Source organism: Homo sapiens, chromosome 2, assembly GCF_000001405.40.
Source record: "Homo sapiens chromosome 2, GRCh38.p14 Primary Assembly".
In the NCBI taxonomy this organism is placed as follows: Eukaryota; Metazoa; Chordata; class Mammalia; order Primates; family Hominidae; genus Homo; species Homo sapiens.
In genome coordinates, this window is record NC_000002.12 from 61,396,412 (window position 1) to 61,422,315 (window position 25,904).

The 25,904-nt window shown below is 40.8% G+C and overlaps 1 protein-coding gene and 1 non-coding gene across 2 annotated transcripts in view, besides 1 other annotated feature; both read right to left on the reverse strand.

The window, feature by feature from the left end:
* Positions 1 to 25,904, reverse strand: part of USP34 (ubiquitin specific peptidase 34) — a 283,625-nt gene that overhangs the window by 208,949 nt on the left and 48,772 nt on the right. The window contains exons 2-3 of the mRNA NM_014709.4: positions 24,335 to 24,422; positions 9,297 to 9,717 (exon numbers count right to left, since the gene is read on the reverse strand). Coding sequence (NP_055524.3) covers positions 9,297 to 9,717; positions 24,335 to 24,422 — 509 coding nt within the window. The remainder of the gene's footprint in view (positions 1 to 9,296; positions 9,718 to 24,334; positions 24,423 to 25,904) is intronic.
* Positions 20,459 to 20,651: a silencer, noted in NCBI's record as "fragment chr2:61644005-61644197 (GRCh37/hg19 assembly coordinates)". NCBI's record gives its function as "represses an EF-1alpha promoter that drives an FKBP-Casp9 reporter gene in an ReSE screen in HepG2 liver carcinoma cells {active_cell/tissue: HepG2}" and the evidence as "EXISTENCE:reporter gene assay evidence [ECO:0000049][PMID:32094911]".
* On the reverse strand, positions 20,833 to 20,966 carry SNORA70B (small nucleolar RNA, H/ACA box 70B). The gene has a single exon (NR_003707.2). It is a non-coding gene; the product is annotated as a small nucleolar RNA, H/ACA box 70B (small nucleolar RNA).

Genomic DNA, 25,904 nt, shown 5'->3' on the forward strand with positions numbered 1-25,904 from the left:
ATGCTCATTAACCCACAATTAGAAACAACTGACATCCATCAATTTGATGGCTAAATGAATGGCATAACCATTCCAGCTAATTTTTTTTTTTTTTTTAGACGGAGTCTCGCACTGTCGCTCAGGCTGGAGTGCAGGAGCATGATCTCGGATCACTGCAAGCTCTGCCTCCTGGGTTCACGCCATTCTCCTGCCTCAGCCTCCAGAGTAGCCGGGATTACAGGCGCCCACCACCATGCCCGGCTAATTTTTTGTATTTTTAGTAGAGACAGGGTTTCACCGTGTTAGCCAGGATGGTCTCGATCTCCTGACCTCATGATCCACCCGCCTCGGCCTCCCAAAGTGCTGGGATTACAGGCATGAGCCACCTCGCCCAGTCCTAACTCTTAAAAATAATAAGGTGAAAAAGGCATGAGGGATCTTTGGGGGATGATGGAAATACTCTAAAATTAGAAAGTGATGATGGCTGCACAACTCTGTAAATCTACTGAAAATAAACTGTATACTTTAATCAAGTGATTTTTAAGGTTACATCTTTAAAATGCTGTCTGAAAATAAGGTAGAATCTTACATACAGACAAAACACCTGTTACATTTCTGAAAGAAAATTTATGATCATGATCTGATGTTCATAATTTTTACGTTTGGAAATATCTCAACTTTTTTTGAGAAGAGAATGAAGAAAAAAGAGAAGTTCAAAGGCCTTTCAAAGTCTGTATTTTGTATATTCTGTATTTAATTTTTCACACTGAGGCCGGGCATGGTGGCTCACATATGTAATCCCAGCACTTTGGGAGGCCAAGGTGGGCAGATCATTTGAGGTCAAGAGTTCTAGACCAGTCTGGCCAACATACTGAAACCCTGTCTCTACTAAAAATACAAAAATTAGCCAGGTGTGATGGTAGGCACCTGTAATCCCAGCTACTTGGGAGGCTGATGCAGGAGAACTGCTTGAACCCAGGAGGTGGAGGTCGCAGTGAGTCACGATTGCACCACTGCACTCCAGCCTGGGAGACAAAATGAGGCTCCATCTAAAAAAAAAAAAAAAAAAATTCACGCTGAAAAGACTGCTTTTGGCCAGGCCCGGTGGCTCACACTTAGAATCCCAGCACTTTGGGAGGCCAAGGCCGGCGAATCACTTGAGGTCAGGAGTTCAAAACCAGCCTGGCCAACATGGTGAAACCGCGTCTCTACTAAAAATACAAAAACTGGCTGTGTGCAATGGCTCACGCCTGTAATCCCAGCACTTTCAGAGGCCGAGGTGGGCGGATCATGATGTCAGGAGATCAAGACCATCCTGGACAACATGGTGAAACCCCATCTCTATTAAAAATACACAAATTAGCTGGGCGTGGTGGCACACACCTGTAGTCCCAGCTCCTCGGGAGGCTGAGGCAGTAGAACTGCCTGAACCCAGGAGACGGAGGCTGCAGTGAGCTGAGATCGTGCCACTGAACTCCAGTCTGGGTGACAAAGCAAGACTTCATCTCAAAGAAAAAAAAAAAGAAATTAACCAGGGGTGATGGCACACGCCTGTAATCCCAGCTGCTCAGCAGACTAAGGCACAAGAATCACTTGAACCCGCTTGGGGGAGGGGGGTTGCAGTGAGTCAAGATTGTACCAATGCACTCTAGCTTGGGCAACAGAGCGAGACTCCGCCTCCAAAAAAAAAGATTGCTTTTAGGTTGAGTGCAGTGGCTCACACCTATAATCCCAGCACTGTGGGAGGCTGACTGCTTGAACCCAGGAGTTCAAGACTAGCCTCGTACTCACGGGCGAGACCCAATCTCTATTAAAAATTTTTAAAAATTAGCCAGGCATGGTGGTGCGTGTCTGTTGTCCCAGATACTCAGGAGGCTGAGGCGGGAGGATTGCATGAACTTGGGAGGTCTAGGCTGCAATGAGCCATGTTCATGCCACTGCACTCGATCATGAGTGACAGAGTGAGACCTGGTGAAAGAGAAGGAGGAGAGAGATGGGGGAGGACAGAAAGAGAGGGAGAGAAGGGGGGTGAAAGGGTAAGGGAGGAGGAGGGGAAAGTGGGGGAAGGACGGAGAAGCGGGGGAAGGAGGCGGAAGCGGGGGAAGGAGGCGGAAGCAGGGGAAGGAGGCGGAAGCGGGGAAGGAGGCGGAAGCGGGGGAAGGAGGCGGAAGCGGGAAGAGGGGAAAGTCGGGGGAGGGAGAAAGGGGAGGGAGAAAAGGGAAGGAGAAAGAGGGAGGAGAGAGAAAATAACTGCTTTTATGATCAGAAAGCTAGCTAGAAACTTTCATCTGAAAAAAGCTACCAAAGAAACCCATTCATCATTGCCATCACCTATTTTAGATATTTAAGTTACACTGCTGAAATAAAGTCTGAAAATCATGGATTGAAAGCAATCATACAGAACTCAGAACATTTCAAAATAAACAAAAAATGTCCTTAGAGAAATGAAGTCTCAAAGTAAGTGTTAAACCTCCTAAATCCACTCCTGGCTATGACAACCGGGGCCAGAGGTGAAGCTTTATGTTAATCTCAACGAACTTTTTCATGGTCTTCAAAAAGTCCAGAATTTAAGACCTCCTGTGGTATTGTTAAATACAGAATCATGGACCAGGTGAACCATGCTAGAATCTTAGAGCCACGATTTCTAGTGCCTAACATGGGCACAGCTAAAAAATCTCCTAACGGCCGGTGCAGTGGCTCATGCCTGTAATCCCAACACTTTGAGAGGCCTAGGTAGGTGGATCACGAGGTCAGGAGTTCAAGACCAGCCTAACATGGTCTCTACTAAAACTACAAAAATTAGCTGGGTGTCGTGACGCATGCCTGTAATCCCAGCTACTCAGGAGGTTTCAGCCTCCTGAGAATTGCTTGAATCCCGGAAGGCGAAGGTTGCAGTGAGCTGTTATCATGCCACCGCACTCCAGCCTGGGCAACAGGATCAAAACTCCGTCTCAAAAAAAAAAAAAAAAATTGAGTTCTATCCTGGTATGCAGTGTTACTCAGATTTGATTACATCTATTTTGGTGATTCAGGGGAACTGTTTTGCCACTCTATTTCCAATATGAATACATAAAGCTAGCATCCTAAAATGTTATAATCTCATTTTTTAAGTAGTATATAAAAAATTAACACACATCTATAGGTTAAAAAAAACACTAAGAACAACACTAGGAAGTCTCATTAAAAGACGAATTAACGGTCCCGGGCGCGGTGGCTCATGCCTGTAATTCCCAGCACTTTGGGAGGCTGAGGCAGACGGATCACGAGGCCAAGAGTTGGAGATCACCCTGTCCAACACAGTGAAACCTCGTCTCTACTAAAAACACAAAAAAATTAGCCAGGCGTGGTGGCGGGCGCCTGTAATCCCAACTACTCGGGACGCTGAGGCCGGTGAATCGCTTGAACCTGAGAGGCAGAGGTTGCAGTGAGCCGAGATAACACCACTGCACTCCAGCCTCGGCAACAGTGCGAGACACTGTCTCCCAAAAAAAAAAAAAAAAAGCTGTATTAACAGTATTTTTCAAAAGTTCTTATTTTAGGTAATCGCTGAGAAAGGCTTTAATAAACTTATCAATGATTTTTAAAGTCTTGCATTTTTTTTCCTCAAAAACCTCCCATTTACTACATGAGTTGATCCCATCCTATTTATAGCAGAGAAATTTGGTTATTTTAAAAGAGAAAACAGAGAGAAATAAATGAGTAACTATACAGGAAAGGCAATTTTTTTTTTTTTTTTGGAGATGGAGTCGCATTCTGTTGCCCAGGCTGGAGTGCAGCGGCACCATCCCGGCTCATTACAAGCTCCGCCTCCCGGGTTCACGCCATTCTCCCGCCTCAGCCTCCCCAGTAGCTGGGACTACAGGCACCCGCCACCACGCTTGGCTAATTTTTTCTATTTTTAGTAGAGACAGGGTTTCACTGTGTTAGCCAAGATGGTCTTGATCTCCTGACCTTGTGATCCACCCGCCTCGGCCTCCCAAAGTGCTGGGATTACAGGTGTGAGCCACCGCGCCCGGCCAGAGGAAAGGCAATTCTATGTAAATTAAGAAAATGCTGCTCCATGATCAAACCATGAAGAACTCAATGTCTCAAAATTTTTGCTTAAAAGTAACTCAGTGATGTTGGAATTAGTAGTGATAATTGTACAACGTTGGTATTATTCTAAAAAATACTAAATTGACTGGGCGTGGCAGCTCATCTTATAATCCCAGTACTTTGGGAGGCTGAGGCAGGAAGATTGCCCAAAGCCAGGAGCTCAAAGCCAGCCCAGGAAACAGAGCAAGACCCTGCCTCCTCAAAAAAATTGAAAAACTAGCTAGGCATGGTGGCATGCACCTGTACTCCCAGCTACTTAGGACACTGAAGGTGAAGGGTTACTTGAGTCCAGGAGTTCAAGGCTACAATGAATCATAATTGTGCCAGTGTACTACTCCAGCCTGAGTGACAGAGGAAGACCCTGATTCAAAAATTAAAAAATAAGTCCAGGTGCGGTAGCTTACGCCTGTAATCCCAGCATTTTGGGAGGCCGAGACAGGCAGGTCACAAGATCAAGTGATTGAGACCATCCTGGCCAACATGGTGAAACCCTGTCTCTACTAAAAATACAAAAATTAGCTGGGCATTTTGGGTGCGCGCCTGTAGTCCCAGCTACTTGGGAGGCTAAGGCAGGAGAATCGCCTGAACCCAGGAGGCAGAGGTTGCAGTGAGCCGAGATCGCGCCATTGCACTCTAGCCTGGTGACCAAGCAAGACTCTGTCTCAAAAAAAAAAAAAAAAAAAATTAAAAAATAAAACCTTCATGTATATATTTCATCTGTCTGATTATACCATACGTATATTTAACATAAATGCAGTGGTTTCTCTCCTTTCTACTTTTTTAAAGATAGGGTCCCACTCTGTCATGCAGAGGCATGATCATAACTCACTGCAGCTTTGACCTCCTGGCTCAAGTGATCCTTCTGCCTCAGCCTCCCAAGTAGCTGGGACTACAGGCGTGCACCACTACGCCCAGTTAATTTTTTTTTCTTTTGTAAAGATGAGCTCTTGCTATGTTGCCCAGCCTAGACTTAAACTCCTGGCCTCAAGTGGTCCTCTTGTCTTGGCTTCCAAAAATGCTGGGATTACAGGTGTGAGCCACTGTACCTGGCCCTATTTTTTTTTTTTTTTTTTTTTTTTTTGAGACAGAGTCTCACTCTGTCACCTAGGGTGGAGTGCAGTGGCACGATCTCAGCTCACTGCAAGCTCCGCCTCCTGGGTTCATGCCATTCTCCTTCCTCAGCCTCCAGAGTAGCTGGGACTACAGGCACCCGCTACCACGCCCTGCTAATTTTTTTTTTTTTTTTGTATTTTTAGTAGAGACAGCGTTTTACCGTGTTAGCCAGGATGGTCTCGATATCCTGACCTTGTGATCCACCTGCCTCAGCCTCCAAAAGTGCTGGGATTACAGGCATGAGCCACCGCGCCCGGCCCATTTTTATAATCTTTTTCCCTATACTTAGAAAAAAACTTACAACACTAGAGCAATTATCTGATTTCACAGAATTACACATAATTATTCAGGATAAAAAATGCAACTAGCATGGCAAGGCACTATGGCTCATGCCTGTAATCCCAGCACTTTGGAGGTCAAGGCAGGAGGATCACCTGAGGCCATGAGTTCGAGACCAGGCTGGTCTCGATAAACCCCATAAACACAGATAAACCCCATCTCTTAAAAAAGTAATAATAAAATAAAAATAAACTTAGCCAGGCACTGTAGTGAATGCCTAGTGTCCAAGCTACTCAGGAGGCTGAGGTGGGTGGATCGTTTGAGCCCAGGAATTCAAGGTTATGGTGACCAATGATCACACCACCGCACTCCAGCCTGGGAGACAGAGCAAGACCCTGTCTCTTAAGGGGAAAAAAATTAAAACTAGGCCATTCCCCCTTTTGATCCTGAATTAGTACTACTTATGTCCAATTACCGAACCTTTTAAAATATCAGCTTTGATGGGGACAATAGGAAAGAGAAGAAGGAAGGGAGACAGAAGGAGTGGCTCCAAGTTCCCATATTATTTAGAATACAGTAATTAGTTCAAAATGATTTAGAAGTAGTGCAGTAGAGTAAGACCCGGATTCTAGGACTCTTCTCAGCAATATGCCCAATCAAATCTTTTAACCTCTGTAGGCCAGTTGCTTCTTCTATAAAATAAAAGTGTTGAGTAGGTTTCTAAAGACACAGCTATCAAAATACTAACACATGAGTTTTGAATCTTGTCCTCCTAAGAATTTTGGCTAAGTTGTGCCTCTTTAAAAAATATTAACGAAAAATCAAAATCAAAGGCTTAAGAAAGGATAGCACAGCAGCACAAAGAAAAGACTAGATGGACAATTTCCTCAAAGAAAAGTGGGATAAAAATCTCTAGTAAGCTGTATTACATTTCATAATAATTTGTTTGCTTTAAAATAATTGTGTGTATATACATACAAAATTTATACATATATATAATTTTATAACATGTATGCTACCAAGTCTTTGATCTAAGACCATTTGAAACAGTTGACCCTTACCGCATTTAATTAAATGGCCACTGGGATAGAAACTAGAAATTTTAGAGCACTTGTAACAGATCATTATTAAGATAATAGAAACCTCGGAAACAACTATTACGAAAAGAAAATTAAAGAGGCACATATCTAATATATTAATAGAATTTGGTATAAGGAGGTAACTCCTTTATTATCTCTATGGGTATTTTTTGTCAGAATTTTCCTCGAAGACCTCAAAAAACCACTGCTTTCAACCAAGTAGTAACATAAAATACTCACGAATAATAATAACAAAGTACTTTAAAACAAAGTACAGGAGTGTAACTATGCCTACATTTAGAGATTACCATTTTTGAAAACAGGAAAGAAAAAACACTGATGAGCAAGTTTATTTTAGAAGCAGCAGACTCAGTATTACTTATATAGTTCTATATCATTAAGAAATTTTTAATTGGAAAAAATTTCTGTGAATTTCACATATCTAAGTCCCTAACGAAACTATTTTCAGCATCTTTCAGTTACCAAGTTAAGATATTAAAGCACTATGTAGATGGTGTTTATGTAGATTAAATATTTCAAGTTTGCCTGATGGGACTTTCTTTTGTTGAAAAAAGATTACTTTTTCAGAATATTTAATATATTTTATATCATGTAAGAGATTATTTAAGTTTCTATACTGGAAGATCACAGGCTAAGATTTTTAGAAAACAGAGCACAATCTGCTTTTAAACACTCTTTCTCCCCCACCCAGAGCAGGAGTGAGTGAAAGTTTATCAAAAAGCTTTAGAGGCTGGGCGCAGCGGCTCACGCCTGTAATCCCAGCACTTTGGGAGGCAGAAGCGGGCGGATCACAAGGCCAGGAGATCGAGACCATCCTGGCTAACAGGGTGAAGCCCCATCTCTACTAAAAAATACAAAGAAAAAAATTAGCCGGGCATGGTGGCGGGCACCTGTACTCCCAGCTACTCAGGAGGCTGAGGCAGGAGAATGACGTGAACCCGGGAGGCGGAGCTTGCAGTGAGCCGAGATCACACCACTGCACTCCAGCCTGGGCGACAGATCAAGACTCTATCTCAAAAAAAAAAAAAAAAAAAAAAAAAAGCTTTAGAACAGTAAGGAAAGAAGGACAGAAAGTACAACTTGGAAGAGGGCCAAGTAGGTGACTTGTGTGCCTGATTTAAAATATTCTTACGAAGAATTCTAACAGGGAAAATATCTGCCCTCAAGCTATGTTTTCAAATAAGTCTCCATTCGACATGAAAATATCCCAGTAAAGGACTATTATTTCCCAGATGAAGAAAGAGAGGTATAAAGGTTACAGAACAAATAAGCTAGAGAAAAGAGACAGATAAAAAACAAACAAAAAAAATGTCATAGATTCTCTAATGGCCATAATTCTTCATATTCCAGGATGCACAGGAAACAATGTATAAGATATAAAATGAAATTTTACCTCTCCTCCCCCCAGCAATGGAGTCTACTTCACTACCCCTTTGAATCTGGGCTGCCCTTGTGAACCGCTTCAAGTAACAGAAAGCAGCACAATAGAATATGGCAGAATTATACTGTGACATTTCAAAGGCTGTATCATAAGAAGTCTTACAGCTCCTACTTTTGCCTTCCTGGAGCACTGCTAAGACTACTATTTAAGGAAGCCAATCTACCCTAGTGGAAAATAAGCCATGTGGAGAAAATACAAGGAGCCCCAGATAACAGCCACTACCAACTGCCACACACACAAGTGCGACCCAGACCTTACCCATCCAGTTCTCAAAGTAAATTCACCTGCATAACTCAGCCTACACAAAACTAGCTAAGGAACTGCCTGTGAGAATCATGAGGAATAATAAACCACTGTTAAGTCATTAATATATTACCACATAATTGTCTCAATTCCCACTATGCCTAGAAATCAATCATATTATCTGAGTTAAGTCTAAGATAGGTTACTACATACTTAGAAATGCTTGCAAAAACATCACTAATAGAGTCAAGCATCTTAACTTACAAAAGAAAATACTATTACTTAGCCAGGGGTGGTGGCTCACGTCTGTAATCCCAGCACTTTGGGAGGCCGAGGTGGGCAGATCATGAGGTCAGGAGATCGAGACCATCCTGGCTAACACGGTGAAACCCCGTCTCTACTAAAGAAAATTCTTTTTAAACTTAGCCAGGTGTGGTGGCAGGCACCTGTAATCCCAACTACTTGGGAGGCTGAGGCAAGAGAATGGCATGAACCCAGGAGGCGGAGCTTGCAGTGAACCGAGATCACACCACTGCATTCCAGCCTGGGCAACAGAGAGAGACTCCATCTCAAAAAAAAAAAAAAAAAAAAAAAAAGAAAGAAAGAAAGAAAGAAAAGGAAATACTATTATTTGAAACTACTAATCACAGATAATTTGCTAAGCTTTTTTTTCTTGATAAAAGCAAATTCTGATCTGTAGACTGTTTCTAAGAATGAAATTTAAAATTCCATGTGTTTCTTTTCCCTCAACTATTATTTATTAAGAGTCATAAAATAAGCATAGATCTATAGCAGTAAAATGTTTAGATCACTACCAGATTAATTTCTGAGTTCAATGTATAGATCTTTCCTTGATAGGATGAACTATGCCGAGCAAATTTTCAGCACAAACTGCTGAAGAAATGCTCTGGAGAAACATTAAATAATTCTGGTGACAATAATGATTTTCCGCCAGCAGAAAACTGTCTTCATATTTATCAGTAAGAAACAGACTGCGAAGTTAAGACTTGGTATTACTTAAAATTCACACCACCTATTTTACATACCTCAATAGTAGGGTGAGTATTATGCTTGTAAGCAGTATATAAGGGAAACTGAATTTGAAAAATTTTTGCCACACATAGTAAGAGTTTTTCCTTCTCATCTGTACTCCATAAACTAAAAGGATCAGAACTCTTTGAAGATTCCTCCTCAGTCAGATTACAAATTCTTGTAGAGTTTGATTTTTTTTCTATTGATTTTTGTCTTTCTGTACTTCCTTCATTACACTCTCTATCTATATTCAGTGGTTCTTCTGCTTGATTACTCTCATCTTGCCACGTGGAATCTATGTTAATGGTAGTACAATGTTTACAAAGCTGGTCCCGGAGCACTTGAACTTGGGCAATCACTAAGTTAATAAGTGCACACACTACTTGATTAAAAATCTCCAAATGCTTATATTCCTTGAAGCAGCATAGACATTGCCTATAAGAGAAAAAAAATTGAATAAATTAGTAATAAAGCAGCAGCTGTATTTTTTAATAATATAAAAAAACAAGTAAGCAAATACTAAGTTATTTCTAGACTTGTTTTTATTTTTTCCTTCCTGCTGGGGTACACCTTAATAACATAAAGATAGCATCGCAACAACAACTGATATTTTAGTTAGTGTAAAGTCATCATGTTAGGTTTACAGCTATTATCTTCAGTTTTACGTATGGATTTGTCTGTCCTTCTACACATGGAACTATTTAAAAACAAGAATTGTGACATTTTGTTTCTCCAGTGTCAAGTACTCAATATATGTTTAGCAAGTTATTAGGAAACTTATAACAAAATATCTTATTAGTAAAGCCAGCTGGTTATTTAATATAAGGAATTTTGTTGTCAACTAATAAAACAGCCACATTTTTAGATTAATGTCCTTGAAGGCTACTTGGGAGGGGTGCTCTGACGCTATCTGGCAAATCAAAAGTGTTTAGGAACAACACACACACACTCTCTCTTTCTCTCTCTCTCTCCCCCCCAAGCTCCTGTAAAAAAAAATATATGTGTATTTAAAAAAAAAAAAAAAATATTGGCCAGGCGCAGTGGCTCACGCCTGTAATCCCAGCACGTTGGGAGGCTGAGGCAGGTGGATCATTTGAGGTCAGGAGTTCGAAACCAGCCTGACCAACATGGTGAAACCCTGTCTCTACTAAAAATGCAAAAAAAAAAATAGCTGGGTATGGTGGTGGGCACCTGTAATCCCAGCTACTTGGGAGGCTGAGGTAGGAGAATCACTTGAACCCGGGAGGCGGAGGCTGTAGTGAGCCAAGATTACACCACTGCACTCCAGCCTGGGCAACAAGACCAAAACGCAGTCTCAAAAAAAAAGTATTACAAACAAATCCAGTTCTCCTTAGACATGTTCAGTTAGTAGCACAATGCCTGGCATATGTAGATAATTAAAAGGATCTCAGCCAGGTGCAGTGGTTCACACCTGTAATCCCAACACTTTGGGAGACCAAGGTGGGAGGATCGCTTAAGTCCAGGAGCTCAAGACAACCCAGGGCAACATAATGAGGCCCATCTCTACAAAAACATAAAAATTAAAGAATCAGCTAGGCATCGTGGCTTGTGCCTGTAGTCCCAGCTATTCGAGAGGCTTGAGCCCAGGAGGCTGAGACAGCAGTGAACCCTGATCATGCCTGAGTGACAGAGCAAAACCATGTCTCAAAAAAAGGCAGGGAACGGTCTGGTGAATCAATAGGCAATTAATACATACGCAAGTACCTGGTTCTAATAATACTTGTACCAGATGACAGCTAAGCAACTATAATTTATAATCTGCACCCAGTAATAGCATCAGATCAAAACAACTATATTGTAGTCCAAATAGATCACCAATGCCCTGTATGATCATGTGGAAATAATCTTATTTCTCCAAGTGTGAATTTGAAGTACAGCCACAAATTACTTGATATTCTTCTGTGTAGACGGAACTCACTTCTAGTGAATAGAAAGTGGTGGAAGTGACAATGTGTGACATCTGAGACTAGGTCATAAAAGACATTGTCACTTCTGCCTTGCTCTTTTTTGGATCACTTACTCTAGAGGAAGCCACCTATCACTGAAAAACACTCAAGCAGCCTAAAGAGGAGACCACATGAGAAAGTACCAAGACCTCTCATTAACAACCAGCACTGAGGCTGGGTGTGGTGGCTCATGCCTGTAATCCCAGCACTTTGGGAGGCCGAGGTGCATGGATCACCTGAATTCAGGATTTCGAGATCAGCCTGGTCAACATGGTGAAACCCCATCTCTACTAAAAATACAAAAATTAGCCAGGCGTGGTGGTGGGCACCTGTAATCCCAGCTACTTGGGATGCTAAGGCAGGAGAATCACTTGAACCGGGGAAACAAAGATTGCAGTGAGCCGAGATCATGCCACTGCACTGCAGCCTGGGTGACAAAGCAAGATTCTGTCACAAAAAAATAAAAAATAAATAAAATAAACAACCAGCACTAACTTGGTCACTATCTAAAGCAAGCCAACTTGGAAGTATATCCTCCAGCCCCACATGAGCTTTTTACATGACTATGACCTGGCCAACACCTTGACTAAAACATTATAGGAAACCCGACCCAGAACCAAACAGCTAAAGGACTCCCAAATTCCTGTCCCATTGAAACTTTGAGGATAATAAATGTTTACTGCTGTTTTAAGATATAGTACTACTTTTGGAGTATTTTTGTCACACAGAAATATATAATTATAAATATATATAAATAATGCATCACATCTTTTTTATCTGTGGCAAAATGAAAGGGTTTTAATTTTTACCTCCAAGGCCTCCTCCAGCTTTACAATTCTATAGTATCACAACTCCCACAAGAAGAAAAATAAACACATTTCTCCTACAATTCTTCTGATTAACAGCTTTTTCCTTTGATGTTTAGGAAAAATCAGGTTTAAAGTAAGAGGTCAGGCTGGGTGTGGTGGCTCACACCTGTCATCACAGCACTTTGGGAGGCTGAGGCAAGCAGATCACTTAAGGTCAGGGGTTTGACACCAGCCTGGCCAACATGGTGAAACCTCTTCTCTACTAAAAATAAAAAATTAGACGGGCTTGGTGGTCTACCTGTAATCCCAGATACTGAGGAGGCTGAGGCAGGAGAGTCACTTGAACTTGGGAGGCGGAGGTTGCAGTGAGCCGAGATCACGCCCCCTGCACTCCAGCCTGGGAGACAGAGTGAGACACTCCCTCTCAAAAAAACAAACAAAAACAAAGTGAGGTCATAAACTTGAGTGTCGGGGGGTGCGCTGTCTCAGCCTGTAATCCCACCACTTTGGGAGGCCAAAGTGGGCAGATGACTAGAGGCCAGGAGTTCAAGACCAGCCTGACCAATACAGCAAAACCTCGTCTCTATTAAAAATACAAAAATTAGCTGGGCATGGTGGCACACACCTGTAATCCCACCTACTCAGGAGGCTGAGGCACAAGAATTGCTTGAACTCGGGAGGTGGAAGGTGCAGTCAGCCAAGATTGCACCACTGCACTCTAGCCTCGGTGATAGAGGGAGACTGTCTCAAAAAACATAAAAAACTTAGAAAAATCAGGTTCAAAGTAAGAGGTCAGGCCGGGTGTGGTGGCTCACGCCTGTAATCCCAGCACTTTGGGAGGCTGAGGCAGGCAGATCATTTACTAAAAATGGAATCTGAAAACCCAGAAAACGAACTTGAAGTCAGATTTGGATGAAGAAAGCCAAAGATTCAGCCAAACTTACTTTTAAAATAAGTGTTAGGGCCGGACACGGTGGCTCATGTCTGTAACCCCAGCACTTTGGGAGGCCAAGGCAGGTGGATCACTTGAGGTCAGGAGTTCGAGACCAGCCTGGCCAACATCGTGAAACCCCATCTCTACTAAAAATACAAAAATTAGCCAGCCATGGTGGCGGGTGCCTGTAATTCCAGCTACTCAGGAGGCAGAGACAGGAGAATTGTTTGAACCCAGGAAGCAGAGGTTGCAGTGAGCCAAGACTGCGCCACTGCACTCCAGCCTGGGCGACAGATCAAGACTCCATCTCAAAAAGTAAATAAATAAATAAAATAAGTGTTAGAAAATGAGCATTAAACTGCTTGATAATGGACCTAAGAAACTGATGATCTTCAAAGACAAAAATTATGTGAACAAAGTAACAGAAGAAACTGGGTCTGGGTCCTTCCAGATCCAAAATACACAAGTTCAAAAAGGGCTGTGAGTCTAACAGGGGAACACACACGTACACAAATATATGTATTTTTTAAATAATTGTATATTACATAAATAATACTTTTTATTCTATTACATTCAATTCTGAGAAGTCTAGGTATATGAATTCTCAATACGGCGTTTCCCTCTGTGTATCAATGGTTCCCAACCTTTTTGGCAACAGGGACCTGTTTTGTGGAAGACAATTTCTCCAAGGACCCAGAGGACTTTGGGATGATTCAAACACATTACATCTATTGTGCACGTTATAGTATCACACTGTAATATATAATGAAATAATTCTACAACTCACCATAATGTAGAATTAGTGGGAGCCCTGAGCTTGTTTTCCTACAACTAGACGGTACCATCTGGGGGTGATAGGAGACAGCGATAGATCATCAAGCATTATATTCTCATGAAAAGTGTGCAACCTAGATCCCTCACATGCACAGTTCACAACATGATTCATGCTCCTGTGAGAATCTGATGCTGCCACTGATCTGACAGGAGGTGGAGTTCAGGTGGTAATGTGAGCAATGGGGAATGGCTGTAAATACAGATGAAACTTCACTCACTCATCTGCCCTTCAGCTCCTGCTGTGTGGCCTGGTTCCTAATTGGGTACCAGTCTGTGGCCCAGGGGCTGGGGACCCTTGCTGTACATTGCATCCATAATGCAAGGCGGAAAAGGTGTTTTAAATAAAAATATCACTTTCAGTCAAAACCAGCTTGAATTTTTTTTAGCTACAAGCTTCACCAAAACCAGCTTGATTTTACACATAAACTTTACTTGTTCTCTATTCGAAATCCTACTACAAATATACTAAAGAACACTCTAGAAAAACAGAAATAATGAAACAGAAGATGACAGCTATCAACATATTTTGAGTGACAGAAAAGGGAAAAATAGTAAGTAATTCAGAGTGAAGGAAATAAACTTCCAACTAGCTATGAAATGGATTTACAAAGAAAAAGAAAAATCAACCCCACAGAACACTGGAAAGGCTCAGGACTTAAGAACATAAGATATCTCTAAAGGCAGGGATGAAGCCTGAGGCAGAAAATAAGACGACTAATGAAAGGTACAATTAAAACCTGCAGGTTCCCATCCTAAAAAAAACAAAATATTATTCCTGTATCACCCATGAAAACAAGTTTTTTCTATACATAATGAACAAGATAAACTCAGGAACACCAGATACCAAAGAAGGCAAGTGTGATCAAGAAAATGAAAGCAACTCATGCCTGTAATCCCAGCACTTTGGGGGGCAGAGGCAGGAGGATCGCTTAAGCCCAGGAATTCAAGACTGGTCTAGGCAACATAGTGAGACCTCGTCTCAAAAAAAAACAAAGTTAGGCAGGCAAGGTGCCATACGCCCGTAATCCCAGCTACACAGGAGGCAAAGATAAGAGGATTGCTTGACTCTAGGAGGTCAAGGTTGCAGTGAGCTAGACTATGCCACTGTACTCCAGCCCAGGTGACAGATCAAGATCCTGTCTCAAAAAAAAAAAAAAGAAAAAAAAACTGAAAGCAAGATAAGTGAAATATATGACTTAAATGGTAAACCTCCTCAAGTACCCTTCCTATCTGGTAACCCAACCACCAGACTAACATATCTCAAAGCGAAAGATTGAAATATACTTCTTTTAAATGTCTTTTTATAGCTCTTACCAAGTTTATTTCTTTCACTCCGAGTTACTATTTGTCCCTTTTCTGTCATCCAAACTATGCTGATAGCTGTCATCTTTTGTCCCATGATTTCTGTCCTTCTAGAGTGTTCTTAGTTTAGTGTATTTGTGGTGGGGTTTGGAATAGAAAAAGCCCGTTTAGCCCCAACAAGAAAGCCTACTCACCATTTAACCATCATACAGTAGTGGCCAACATCTGAGATGCCCTGACCACAGAGGCCTTCAAATTCACTTTTTAGTACCCCTCTTATTACCATGAAAGGATAACAATAATAAGATATGCGAGAAAAATTTTATCTGCCTTTGGATCATTGAAGGCAGATAAAAACAAACAGTAAGGGCGGGCGTGGTGGCTCATGCCTGTAAATCCCAGCACTTTGGGAGGCTGAGGCGGGTGGATCACCTGAGGTCAGAAGTTTGAGATCAGCCTGACCAACATGGAGAAACCCCGTCTCCACTAAAAATACAAAATCAGTTGGGCCTGGTGGCACATGCCTATAATCCCAGATACTTGGGAGGCTGAGGCAGGAGAACCACTTGAACCCAGGAGGCAGAGGCTGCAGTGAGCCGAGATCATGCCACTGCACTCCAGCCTGGGCAACAAGAGCGAAACTCCATCTCAAAAAAAAAAAAAAAAAAGAAAAGGAAGAAAAGAAAGAAACAGAAAGAAAAGAAAAGAAAAAAGAAATTTAGAGGAAACAGACAAAATACAAAAAGGAAAAAAAGATTTTAGCTGTAATTTATATCCTGAGAGATATAAAATATTACGTTACTGAAATAAGAATGAAATGTTATGAAAATATAAATTCAGATTACACAACAGGGCATTTTTTGGCCAGGGAGCCAAAATAACAATAACAAAATTCAGAGCACTGTAATGTATGCAAATACATATCATATACCTTTTGTATATATATCATTTACAGTTTAAAAACCAATTAAAATTATAGCAATTTGTAAAATTCAACAAAAGGTCCACAAAAGGGAAAAATGAAATCTCCCACAAAATAGAAAAAAATATTAATAATGGAGAGAAAAGGCCTGGTGCAGTGGCTCACACCTGTAATCCCAGCACTTTAGTAGGCTAAGGTGGGATGACTGCTTGAACCCAGGAGTTCAAGACCAACCTGGGCAACATCGCGAGACCTCCTTTCTACAATAAAAAAATATATTAGCTGAGCATAGTGGCACATGCCTGTGGTCCCAGCTACTTGGGAGGCAGAGGTGGGAGAATCACTTGAGCCCAGGAAGTCGAGGCCGCAGTGAGCCATCATAACGCCACTGCACTCCAACCTTAGCAACACAGCAATCCCATCTCAAAAAAAAAAAAAAAAAAGAGAGAATATGAAAAGGAAGTAATCAAGAAGGGTACAATATCTGACTAACATAGTTCCAAGAAGTGAGAGCAATAAATATGGAGGTAAGGAAATTATGAAATAAAATTTTCACAACCAAAAGGCCCACCAAAACAGACAAAATTTCTGAAGCTGAGGAGGGATAAAGATTCTAAAAGCTTTCAGGGAGAGTAATTAAGAGTATCAAGGAGGCCGGGCGCGGTGGCTCATGCCTGTAATCCCAGCACTTTGGAAGGCTGAGGCGGGCAGATCAGGAGGTCAGGAGATTGAGACCATCCTGGCCAACACGGTGAAACCCTGACTCTACTAAAAATACAAAAATTAGCTGGGTGTGGTGGCATGTGCCTGTAGCTCCAGATACTCAGGAGGCTGAGGCAGAATTGCCTGAACCTGGAAGGCGGAGGCTGCAGTGAGCCAAGATCGCGCCATTGCACTCCATCCTGGCAATACAGTGAGACTCAGTCTCAAAAAAATTAAAATAAAAAAATAAAAAAACAAAAGAGGCCGAGTGAGTGGCTCACGCCTGTAATCCTAGCACTTTGGGAGGCCAAGGCGGGTGGACTGCCTGAGCTCAGGAGCTCGAGACCAGCCTGGGCAACATGGGGAAACCCCGTCTCTACTAGATACTCAGGAGGCTGAGGCAGGAGAATTGCCTGAACCTGGAAGGCAGAGGCTGCAGTGAGCCACGATCACGCCATTGCACTCCATCCTGGCAATACAGTGAGACTCAGTCTCAAAAAAATTAAAAAAATAAAAAATAAAAAAACAAAAGAGGCCGAGTGAGTGGCTCACGCCTGTAATCCTAGCACTTTGGGAGGCCAAGGCGGGTGGATTGCCTGAGCTCAGGAGCTCGAGCCCAGCCTGGGCAACATGGGGAAACCCCGTCTCTACTAGATACTCAGGAGGCTGAGGCAGGAGAATTGCCTGAACCTGGAAGGCGGAGGCTGCAGTGAGCCAAGATCGCGCCATTGCACTCCATCCTGGCGATACAGTGAGACTCAGTCTCAAAAAAATTAAAAAAATTAAAAAAATTAAAAATAAAAAAACAAAAGAGGCCGAGTGAGTGGCTCACACCTGTAATCCTAGCACTTTGGGAGGCCAAGGCGGGTGGACTGCCTGAGCTCAGGAGCTCGAGACCAGCCTGGGCAACATGGGGAAACCCTGTCTCTACTAAAATACAAAAGAAATTAGCCGGGCAGCGTGCACCTGTAGTCCCAGCTACTCGGGAGGCTGAGGCAGGAGAACTGCTTGGACCCAGGAGGCAGAGGATGCCGAGATCATGCCACTGCACTCCAGCCTGGGCTACAGAGGGAGACTCCATCTCTATAAAATAAATAAATAAATAACTTTAAAAAAAAAAAGAGTATGAAGGAAAAGCACAAAAATAACAAGGGCTACTGCTTCTCCAAAGCAATACTGGAACCTAGAATACAACTGATCAATACTTCTGAAATTCTGCAAGCAATTTTCCAATTCTGTATCCAATAAGATCTATCAATAAGTATAAGGGTAGGATAGACATTTCAGGCCTGGAAGGTCTAATACACATTTATCTCCCCTTGTATCCTCTCTCAGAAAAGATGTCCTCTACAACAAGGAAGTGAGCTAAAAAGATGACAAAATGGAATCCAGGAAACTTGGAGATCCAAGATAGGAGATGTTACCAGTGGAGGCGCCCAGGTTCTTGGCGCTTTGAACAAAGAATAGGACAAAAGCACAAACAAAGCGAGGAAAGAATAAAACAACAAAAGCAGAGATTTACTGAAAATGAAAGTATATTCCACAGGGTGGGAACAGTCAGAGCAAGGGAGTCAAGGACCCAGTTACAGAATTTTCTGGGGTTTAAATACCCTCTAGAGGTTTCCTATTGGTTACTTGGTATACACCCTACCTAAATGAAGTAGTGGCCCATGATCAGTCTGAAGTTACAAAGTTACACCCTATGCAAACATCTGATTGGTTATGGAAAGTGGGACCAGTCAGAGGCTGAAGTTACAAAGTTATACTCCTATGCAGATGAAGACTTGGACTGCCACCGGCATGATTAGTTGCAGGAGGGGACCAATTAGAGGTAATTTCAATTTTTCACCTGCCACACAAAAATGTGTGGGGAGGTTGCAAAGCGGGGTAGCCTCCGGTCCTTTTGTTACTCAGGGCGTGGAATCTTAGGGTTTTCCTTTTAATTCTAGGAAGTCAGCGTGAATTGGCCTTAGGTTCCCTGCCTCCAGACCCTAAGGTTCTCCTGCCTCAGAGACAAGCAAAATGAATTATAAGGATGAGATCTGAAGAGAAGGTAGTAACTCTAGAAAGTAATCAATACTCTAGGGTTATGACCAGGGGTGGGGGGATAAAAGATCACCTAATGATGCATAGTTTATGAGCGTTTGAGAGAATTAAGTGATCCACACATAGAAAATTAACTGAATGAAAAGACAGTACACCAAGAAAGAGAGAACATGCAAGATATAAAATGAACTAGAGAACTTTTTTGGCTCATTGCTGAGCAACATTTTTATTTTTAGAACTACCCTAAGAATTGATGTAACTATACTGAGAGAACTGGGGAGGGTAAAAGAATGAAATCCTTATATATCATAACTGGAAGTTCATAGGTTACACCTAAAATTGATAGATGAAGCAACAGCAATATAAGAAGAGTGTTTCAGAATACTGTATAGAGGTTAATATCAAAACCAACATCTCAAAAAGCTGACAACAGAAAGGAGGGTGAGGAGACAGGGGACACAGGGACTTTATTATAGGCATTTCCCTGCCAATTAATTTTTTTAAACTCTGTATTACTTATGTTGGTACACCAATATCATACATATCCTCCCACCATCTGAGCTTCTCTTATTTTCTTCTCAGTTTTACCGTTATTTCCAGCCTGACAAAATTATCTAAGTAGAATTATATGCTGCCCACCTAAATAAAATGCACTTATGTTTTTAAAATGCAATGATAAAAATTTCTAAATGCCTCATATAAAGTATGTAGCTTTAATTTTAAAAGTAATACTAAGTAAACATTCATGAGGAATCTACATGTCAAAATAAAATTCTTTCCAGGTTAGGTTTTAGAATTCCATCTAGCAACAAATATTCCAGTGGGTCCAATATCATTTCCCTAGCCCAATTCTGCTGAAAGAATGAAAGGACTATTACTCCACAGTATTCAACCTCACCAAAAATTGTTTTATGTATGAGCTAATTTATGAAAAGAACTACTTTAAACACTGGTCAATATCAACAGTCCATTGGTCCAACAAATTTCTTGATGCCAAAATAAAAGGCAGAGCCTTAAAGAGTGAACCACATACATTTAACCTATTTAAAAGCAACGGCTTCTAAAACTATTCTAAAAAACAAAATTTATTAAAACAATGAAAAAATAAAAGTAAAAGCTTCAAACATTAAGCACAAATGACAAATATAAAAGATACTACTTTTAGCCTGGAAACCTGACAGAGAACCTCACCCTGGCTGGCGTCCAGAGTTCTTATATAGAAGAAATTCCTGAAATAAAGTTAAAAAGTTGATAGGTAGGAGACAGCAAAGAGCTTTAAATACCTGTTAAGGAACGTGGAATTTCCAAGATATAAACCTAACTCAGTTTTGTAATAAGCTTAAAACAAGCAAAGAAAAAGAAAAAAAATCAACACTTAACAACATGAAGAATTATGCTCTGTGGTATCGGTGCTTGTCATACATGATATTCCTTTGCAGATCCGTATATTCCCTTTCCCTAATTTAGTCTTGAATTTATTCTCCTATTCCTTTCTCTTCCCATTTTCTGAGTTAGTTTTCCTCCTATTCTATTCCCAATCATTAAATTAATAAAATGATGATAATCTGGTAAACAAACATGTGTTATTAACCTCCCTAATCTTTTTTTTTTTGGGGGGGGGGACAGGAAGTAGAATGTATTGGTATTAAGAGGGGGCAGCACAGTGGAAGCCCTCATGAGTGCAGGGCCAGCCACTTGTCCAGAGGGCCATGAATGGCGACATACTTGACCCCACAGCCATCTGGGATGAGCCGCTTCTCAGCCACCATATCTTCAAATTCATCGGCATTGAACTTGGTGAAGCCCCACTTCTTCCAGATGTGGATCTTCTGGCAGCCGGGGAACTTGAACTTGGCCCTGAGCAGGACCTCAATCACATGCGCCTTGTTCTGCAGCTTGGTATGGATGGACATAACTTGGCCAATGTGAACCCTGGCCACAGTGCCCTGGGGCTTTCCAAAGGCACCTCACATGCCTGTTTGGACCCTACACTGGGGTAGTGCAAGGTCAGAAACACGAACATACATCTGAAAGGCCTGTCTCCAAGGTCCCTTAGAGCAACCTATACAACAAACAGGCCGCATACACTACCAAGGAAGCTGCTGTTTACAGCCATTGCACACTGGACCCCCATAAGGAAAGGAATTCAGTCAGCTTAATTGGCTGCAGGACCTCCGTAATCTTACAGCCAAAGTTGTGACAGCTATATGACTGTTAAACAGCACTTAAAAATGATGACACAGATAATACTTGATCACACAGAGACTGACCATAGTTAACTGTACCTGAGAAATCAGACCATGAAGTATAATTTTTGTAAAATTTAAAACTGTACTGTTCTCAGTCTCACACCATGGATATACAAAAGAAGTTGTAAGCTGTCGCTCTGAATGGTGGCATGTTTTTGTTTTTAACTTCAATTCTCTGTAGTTTCTCAAAGTTGTTTTTTTTTCCCTACAATGACTGTATCATTTAAATAAGAAAAAATATATATATAAAATACTAAAATCTTTTTTTTTTTCTTTTTTTCTTTTCTTTTTTTTTTTTTTTTTAGACAAAGTCTTGCTCTATCCCCAGGCTGGAGTACAGTGGCGTGATCTCAGCTCACTGCAACCTCTGCCTCCCGGGTTCAAATGATTCTCCTTCCTCAGGCTCCCGAGTAGCTGGGGTTACACATGAGCACCCCACGCCTGGCTAATTTTTGTATTTTTAGTAGAGACAGGGTTTCACCGTGTTGACCAGGCTGGTCTCAAACTCCTGAACTCAAGTGATCCACCTCCCTGGGCCTCCCAAAGTGCTGGGATTACAGGCATGAGCCATTACCCTGGGCCTAAAATCTTTATAATGCTTATAAATATTAAATTCTTGTTAACATACTTTTTTTTTTTTAAGATGGAGTCTCACTCTATTCCAGGCTGGAATGCAGTGGCACAAATCTCAGCTCACTGCAACCTCCGCCTCCCAGGTTCAAACAATTCTGATGCCTCAGCCTCCCGAGTAGCTGGGATTACTGGTACACACCACCACGCCTGGCTAATTTTTGTATTTTTAGTAGAGATGGGGTTTCACCATGTTGGTCAGGCTGGTCTCGAACTCCTGACCTCAGGTGATCCACCCACGTTGGCCTCTCAAAGTGCTGGGATTACATGCATGAGCAACCACGCTTGGCCTACCATACTATTTTTGAAGTAAACATTCTCCATTACCTATACTGTAGATAATACACTACAAAAACAATTTATGACCACTAATAATCTTACGAAAGCTTTTTCCCTCTAGGAAACTTATAAATAACATGTTGTATGAAATATCATGAGTTTATCTCCACGCTAAGGTTCACTTATGGACTCACTTGGTCCACGGGCCCCAAGTTAAGAATGCATTTTGCAGATTATCCATGCTTTATTAGTACCTGTTTATCCGCTAATTAGAACGACAATCTTAATCTAGGCCACAATATTTTCTGAAGCTCAAGAAAATAATTTAGGGGAGGAAGAGAGGAAGATGGAAATAGACAAATTTTCACTACAAGGCACTGTGATCTAACTATTTTTACCTGTTCTCCCTTCTATCAGCACAATTAAGAGTATGCACAATTAAGAGTATAACATTCCACTTTTATTACTACGAGCTAACAACTGTTCATACTTACTGACAGGTGAACAAAATTACAAATTATTCAATGTTCTCCAGCTTAGCTTTCATACTTTAGCTTACATCTTTTAATTTATATTTCATTTTCCAAAACAAATTTTAACAATTTTAATTAAAATATGTGTTTATTAAGTCCTTTTAGCAAATACAGTGCTAAGCACTTTGTTTTCTTACAATCTCATTAAGACAGTAGTAGCTTTATTATTATTCTATTTCCACCAATGAGGAAATGAGAGTTTACAGAACTTAACTCATTTGTCATCATCACTCGTTCACAGGTGATGAAGCAGGACTAGAATCCATGTCTATCTAGATCCAAGGCCACTTTTTTTTTTTAAATAGAGATGGGGTCTCGCCCTGTAGCCCAGGCTGGTCTCGAACTCCTAGGCTCAAGTGATCCTCCACCTCAGCCTCTCAAAAGTGAGAGGCATGAGCCACCACACCCGGCCAGGCCACACTCTTCTTAACCACTACATTCTAGGGCAACATGAGATAAACCACAGGCTCTCGGTGGTTTGGAGGCAAACACTTTGATATTCTGATGAGACCTAAGAATTACTGCCTAAAACTGCACATATGAAAATCTCCTTTATAATTTCATTCCCATCCACAGACTCTTGGTTAAAAATTCTTAATACAGGGATTAAAAATAAGCTAGAATACAAGTGTATTAGGAATGGGAACATATAACTCCCACCCCATCTCTACCAATAACTAGTGATGAGATTTTAGGAGAATGATTTTGTTTCTCTGGATTTCATTTTATTCAGTGGCAAACTTATAGATCCTGAAATCAGAAGTGTAGATTTTTTTCCTAGTATAACATGTTGCCACCTAGCTGTAGTTACAATAATTAAAACTCAAGATTATGACTCAGACACAACATTTCTCAGCAAATCATTGTGGACTATTAAAGTTCATCTTCAATCATAAACATATTAGTATTATGCAATATTCATCTAGTCCATCCCTAATGCAACAGCAACCACTCCTAAACTTACTGAAATTCAGTGAGACTCAGAAAAGAAATGTCAATAATGATGGTACAGAATGTTTACATAAATAAAATCTACAAAGTCTTTTGCAACAAGTATATCTGCCAACTCTACTGAGAGAGGAAAAAAGGATATTACCATAGAGCAAATGTTATTTGAAGTTAAACTACTCAGCTAAACTCTATGTTCAGCTAGACTGTATACCTCAGAACATTCATTTATGTATCACTGCATTTAACATGTTCATTGGCTACTGCACACAATGCTTCAAACATTCTTACCCATAAAATTTTTTAGAAGGACTAAGTTTAAGTTAAAGTAATTTTTATTTTCATTGGTTTATTCAAGGGAAAAAAATTATTAGCAAAGACTAGTTAAAATCACATTGAGGAACAGGAATCCTTTTTATAAACTTTGATTATATTAACATGTTTTCCTAAAATTTTATTTCCTATAGTCTCAATATATGTATTATTTAGAAATTGGTCTAATACACATAATTATAGAAACGGAACAGATATTAAGTGGCTTAAAAGTATCCCCTACCACAATGACTTTTCTTTTTTAAGGATTAAGATTGTTACAAGCCTTTAGCTATACCATAAAAATTATTTAATCTCTCAAAATAGTTACTTTTCAGAATTTCTGTGACTCTCATATCCCTAAATAAGCAGGGGTCAAAGAAAGAAACTGATATTTATGCCCATGTTTTAAAAACAGAATCATGATCGACCTCATGAGTAAAGATTTAATAAATATTGACAAACTGTCATTTAGTAACTAATGGTATCTAACCCAACACCCTAAAAAGAAAATGTGACAATAAAAATCGCAACTTATAACACAACTCACAAAAATTAGTCTTCGAAATACCTAAAGATGCATACCTCTGTGTCCAGGAATTGATATAAGTAAATATTTTGAGAGTATGTTCCTTTCTGAGCTGCAGTCCATCACCACCTTCTACATCTGATACTGAAATAAAAAAGAAATTTTAAAATTATGAATAATGCTAAACCAGTATTAAAGCCAACAGTTCAAAATAAAGCCAAGAGCTACAAATGCAAACATTTCAGATAATCATTCTTTTGCTTCCAAAGAAAATAAGTCTACTTTTAATTAATAACTCATATGGACTTAAGAACAGATTTTTGACAGATGTAAGGGGTGGGGGGGGCAGTGAGACTTTGCCACTTATTCTGGGATTATCTCTCATCTCCAAAACCAGCCTTCCGTTGTGATGCTGAGGCTGGGACCATGCAATCTACATTTTTCATTTCCAGCTGTCTTCCTGTTAAGATCTTGTTCTCCAGTGCCTATAGGGTACTAGAAGAAGAAGGCAGGAGGAGAGACCAAAGACTTGTCAGCTTGCTATATCTGAAAGCAGCAGCACTGATTCCAGCCTCCAGCTTAGTATTCCAAGAACCAGTCTCATGGTACTCCTCTCAGAGGTATCAGCAGTAGCCACAGAGCATACCTTCCTTGAAGTCACAGCTTCCTTCACACGGCGTTCCTCTTTTGATATGAGGAAGCTTGAGAACATTCAGTTCTCATTAAAAGACCATTTCCCAAAATAATAAAAATTGAACATAACCATTCTTATAATTCCATCATTTTAATGGCTTTTACCTTCTTTGGCTGGTCCACACAGCTTTACAAAGTAGAAAACATAAGGGTCTTTGAAGCCACTAAACCAATTATTATGTATGTACAAGAAAGCATTTTTGAGGCTTATCAGCTTTCTTACTGTTTCTTTATATATTGCTAGTGTCTTCTCTTTAATCCCAAGAAATCTTGCCTGGATCACTGTATCACATTAACGTGAGGAGGGGAAATCCCCTATGAAGCAGTAATATGTCCTACTATACCAGTAAGTTTCCTGTACCAAATATATATGAGGTTAGTTTACATTTAAAACACACACACACACACACACACACGCGCGCGCGCGCACCTTCTACTTAATCAGACTACATACACAATGTTGAGACTTACAGCACACTTCCTCAACTCAGCTCCAGAAATGCTGGTAAGCTGAACTAGGAGGTTGGAAGATTCCTCTCTGGTAATACTGATTAACCAAAAAGGGGTTTAAAAAAAAATTACCTTGGTCAAGGAGAAAAGGAAACGGCGTAAGGCCAAAATACATGTAAAACAGTCACAAGGTAGTAACACCTACACCCAAGACCAGGCTTTTGGGACCTAGATCACATCTGAGGCCCTGGAAGCCGAAGACACTACTGACCATCAGGGAGAAGACCTGGGCAACAAAGCTTAGCAACTAGGACAGAATAAGATATAGTTGGGGCCTAAGATGAAGCAACCACTAAAAACAACCTCTTGCATTGTATGATTTCAACAAGGTGAAGAAGGGATCACAGTACGCCATGCCAGTTTTCCTTCCCCAGCCATAACAGTGCCTAAAAACAGAGGGAAGAGTGGCTACAACCATCATAT